Source organism: Homo sapiens, chromosome 1, assembly GCF_000001405.40.
Source record: "Homo sapiens chromosome 1, GRCh38.p14 Primary Assembly".
Classification (NCBI taxonomy): domain Eukaryota; kingdom Metazoa; phylum Chordata; class Mammalia; order Primates; family Hominidae; genus Homo; species Homo sapiens.
Window position 1 is genome coordinate 188,775,579 of NC_000001.11, and position 3,615 is coordinate 188,779,193.

Here is a 3,615-nt window from a genome sequence, read left to right on the forward strand (position 1 = left end):
TGTTGGGAACTGGAGCAAAGGTGACTCTTGTCATTTTTTTAGCAAAGAGACTGGTGGCATTTTGCCTCTGCCCTAGAGATTTGTGGAACTTTGAAGTGGAGGGAGATGGTTTAGGGCAGCTGGCCGAATAAATTCCTAAGGAGCAAAGCATTCAAAACTGACTTGGGTGCTGTTAAAAGCATTTCATTTTAAAAGGGAAACAGAGCATAAAAGTTCATAAAATTTGCAGCCTGAAAATGCAGCAGAAAAGGAAAACCAATTTTTTGTGGAGAAATTCAAGCTTGCTGCAGAAATTTGCATAAGTAGCAAGCAGCCAGCTATTAATCCCCAAGACCATGGGGAAAATGTCTCCAGGCCATGTTAGAAACCTTCATGGCAGCCCCTCCTCTCATAGGCCTGGAGGCCCAGGAGGAAAAAGTGGTTTTGTAGGCCAGTCCCAGGGTCCCCATGCTGTATGCAGCCTAGGACTTGGTGCCTTCTGTTCCAGCCATTCCAGCTGTGGCTGAAAGGGGCCAACATTGAGCTTGGGCTGTGGCTTCAGAGGGTGGAAGCCCCAAGCCTTGGCAGCTTCCACATGGTGTTGAAACTGTAGGTATAGAGACGTCAAAAATTGAGGTTTGGGAACCACCAACTAGACTTCAGAAAATGTATGGAAATGCCAGGATGCCCAGACAAAAGTTTGCTGAAGGGGTGGGGCCCTCATGGAGGACCACTGCTAGGCCAGTGTGGAAGGGAAATGTGGGGTTTGAGCCCCCACACAAAGTCCCTACTGTGGTACTGCTTAGTGGAACTGTGAAAGAGGGCCACTGTCCTCCAGACCCCAGAATGGTAAATCCACTGGCAGTTTGCACCATGCACCTGGAAAAGCTGCAAACACTAAACAGCAGCCCATGAAAGCAGCCAAGAGGGAAGCTGTACCCTGCAAAGCCACAGGGGCAGAGCTGCCCAAGACCAGGGGAACCCAACTTTTGCATCAGTGTGATCTGGACATGAGATCATTCTGGATCTTTACAATTTGACTGCACTGCTGAATTTTGGGCTTGTATGGGCCCTGCAACCCCTTTGTTTTGGTCAATTTCTCCTATTTGGAATGGGTGTATTTACCCAATACCTGTACTCCCATTGTATCTAGGAAGTAAATAGCTTGTTTTTGATTTTACAGGCTCATAGATGGAAGGGACTTGCCTTGTCTCAGATGAGACTTTAGACTGTGGACTTTTGGGTTAATACTGAAATGAGTTAAGACTTTAGGGGACTGTTGGGAAGGCATGATTTGTTTTGAAATGTGAGGACATGAGACTTGGAGGGGCCAGGGGTAGAATTATATGGTTTGGCTGTGTCCCCATCCAAATCTCAACTTGAATTGTATCTCCCAGAATTCCCACCTGTTGAGGGAGGGACCCAGAGGGAGGTAATTGAATCATGGGGGCTGGTCTTTCCCGTGCCATTATTGTGATAGTGAATAAGTCTCACAAGATCTGAAGGGTTTATTGGGGTTTCCGCTTTTGCTTCTTTCTCATTTTTCTCTTGCCACCACCATTTAAGAAGTGCATTTTACCTCCCACCATGAATCTGAGGTCTCTCCAGCCATGTGGAACTATAATCCAATTAAACTTCTTTTTGTTCCCAGTTTTGGATATATCTTTATCAACAGTGTGAAAACGAATGAATACACCTGCATATCCCACACATGTACCCCAACACTAAAAAAAAAATTAAAAATAAAACACAAATGTGGTGAGTATTCATGTGTATGACTAGGTTAACTCATTCTGATAGTGTGAGGAATTAGTGAAAAACTGAATGAAATAAGAATGAGAGCCATGCGATATCTGAGAAAAAATGAAGATATATATATAAAGACATATATATAAAGATATATAAAACAGCTCAAGGTAAAACTGAATATATATTAGGAGAGCAGCAGAATAGCAGACCCGCATCCCTGAGTGTGGCGTTTGTAATTAAATCTAATGTAAGAGGGAGGAGGTCTACTCCAGAAAGATGTTAAATTTTGGCTGAAAGATCTCTACTTTGACAACAAAGATACATTTTGTGAACTTGACAAAAAGTTATCTCCTTGAGATTTTAAGTTAATTTTAACTTGCAGTCTGTTTTTTAATTCATTAGTTAATTTATTTATTATTTATGTATTTATTTATTTTCCTTAGTGAATCCTGTGTCCCTTTTGTTGATATGTGTGTATTTTCTTTAGCAAAGCTTGGACAATTAAGCCTGTGGTTGAAACACATTTTTATTAAATTAATCACTGGCTCTTAATTCATATATGTTTATCCAAAATTGAATTTCAAAATATTGAAAGTATTAGTGGGGATTTAAGTTTTATTACTCTTCATCAAACTGGATTTCACACTTGCCAGTTAAAAATTGTGTGCATATATCTAGCTGTATTTCAGATTCCTTAAGTTTTTCAAAACAAGTGGAAAGTTGAAAATGGCCAATGATGGGGCAATGAACATTATCTGCTACAAACAGTTCCTCATTTGCCACTCCACAATATTAAAAAAAGAAGGAGATACCTTTCTATTGTCCAGTGTTCAGGATTTGGTTGACTCATAAAACTTCGATACCTGGGCTCTCAGGTTGTGCTGCATACTTGTAGTCAAAGTCTGCAGAGATGGGTGTCTTCTCTAGCTATCTATGAAACTTTGCTTAAATTTTACCATCTATAGCAGATTTTACTTCTTATAATTTTTACACTTGTTACTGTCTTTTCATTTAGGGTTAAATTTTCTGCACTAATTTTCTTTTTTAAAAATTTAATTTAAAAAATGGACATTAGGGTAAAGAGCAGACATACAGCTTTAATGTTTTGTCTTTATATGGATATTTTTCTTCAGTTCATACCATACTATGAAAATATTGGTATTATAATGTCTGAATTTTGTATTCCAACACAATTAGCTTTGGCTCAATTCATATATTATATGCTAATATTTTTTCACTGTTGACATTGGCTAATCATTAATCAACACACGAAACTGTATAATGGTCAAATATGGATAAGTGAGGAGAACACTTCAATTAGTGTCATTTTCTTGAACATGTCAAAAGTGAATTTCCTTTTACTGCCAAAAGAACATCATGCCACTTATCTTTACTCAGACATTTATTCAGACTGTTTATCTACCGTATTTGTTGCTACAATGATTCATTCTCAATATAAAATGACTATTACAAAAGGGAAGAAAATTTTACTTTGGGCATTTGTTTTGACACTGTTCCAGAGAGAATGAGCCCATATAGTCAGCTGCAAAGACTTCATAGAATTCGACTTATATTTCTCAATATAAGAATATAAGAACATTTATCTTATTTCTGCCTTTGAATCTGCCTGATATGGTTTGGCTGTGTCCCCACCCAAATCTCATCTTGAATTGTAACTCCCATAATTCCCATGTGTTGTGGGAGGGACCTGGTGGGAGGTAATTGAATTATGGGGGTGGTTTCCCCCATACTGTTCTCATGGTAGTGAATAAGTCTCATGAGATCTGATGTTTTTATAAGGAGTTTCCCCTTCTGCTCAGGTCGCATTCTCTCTTGACTGCCACCATGTAAGATGTGCCTTTCACCTTCCACCATGATTGTGAGGCC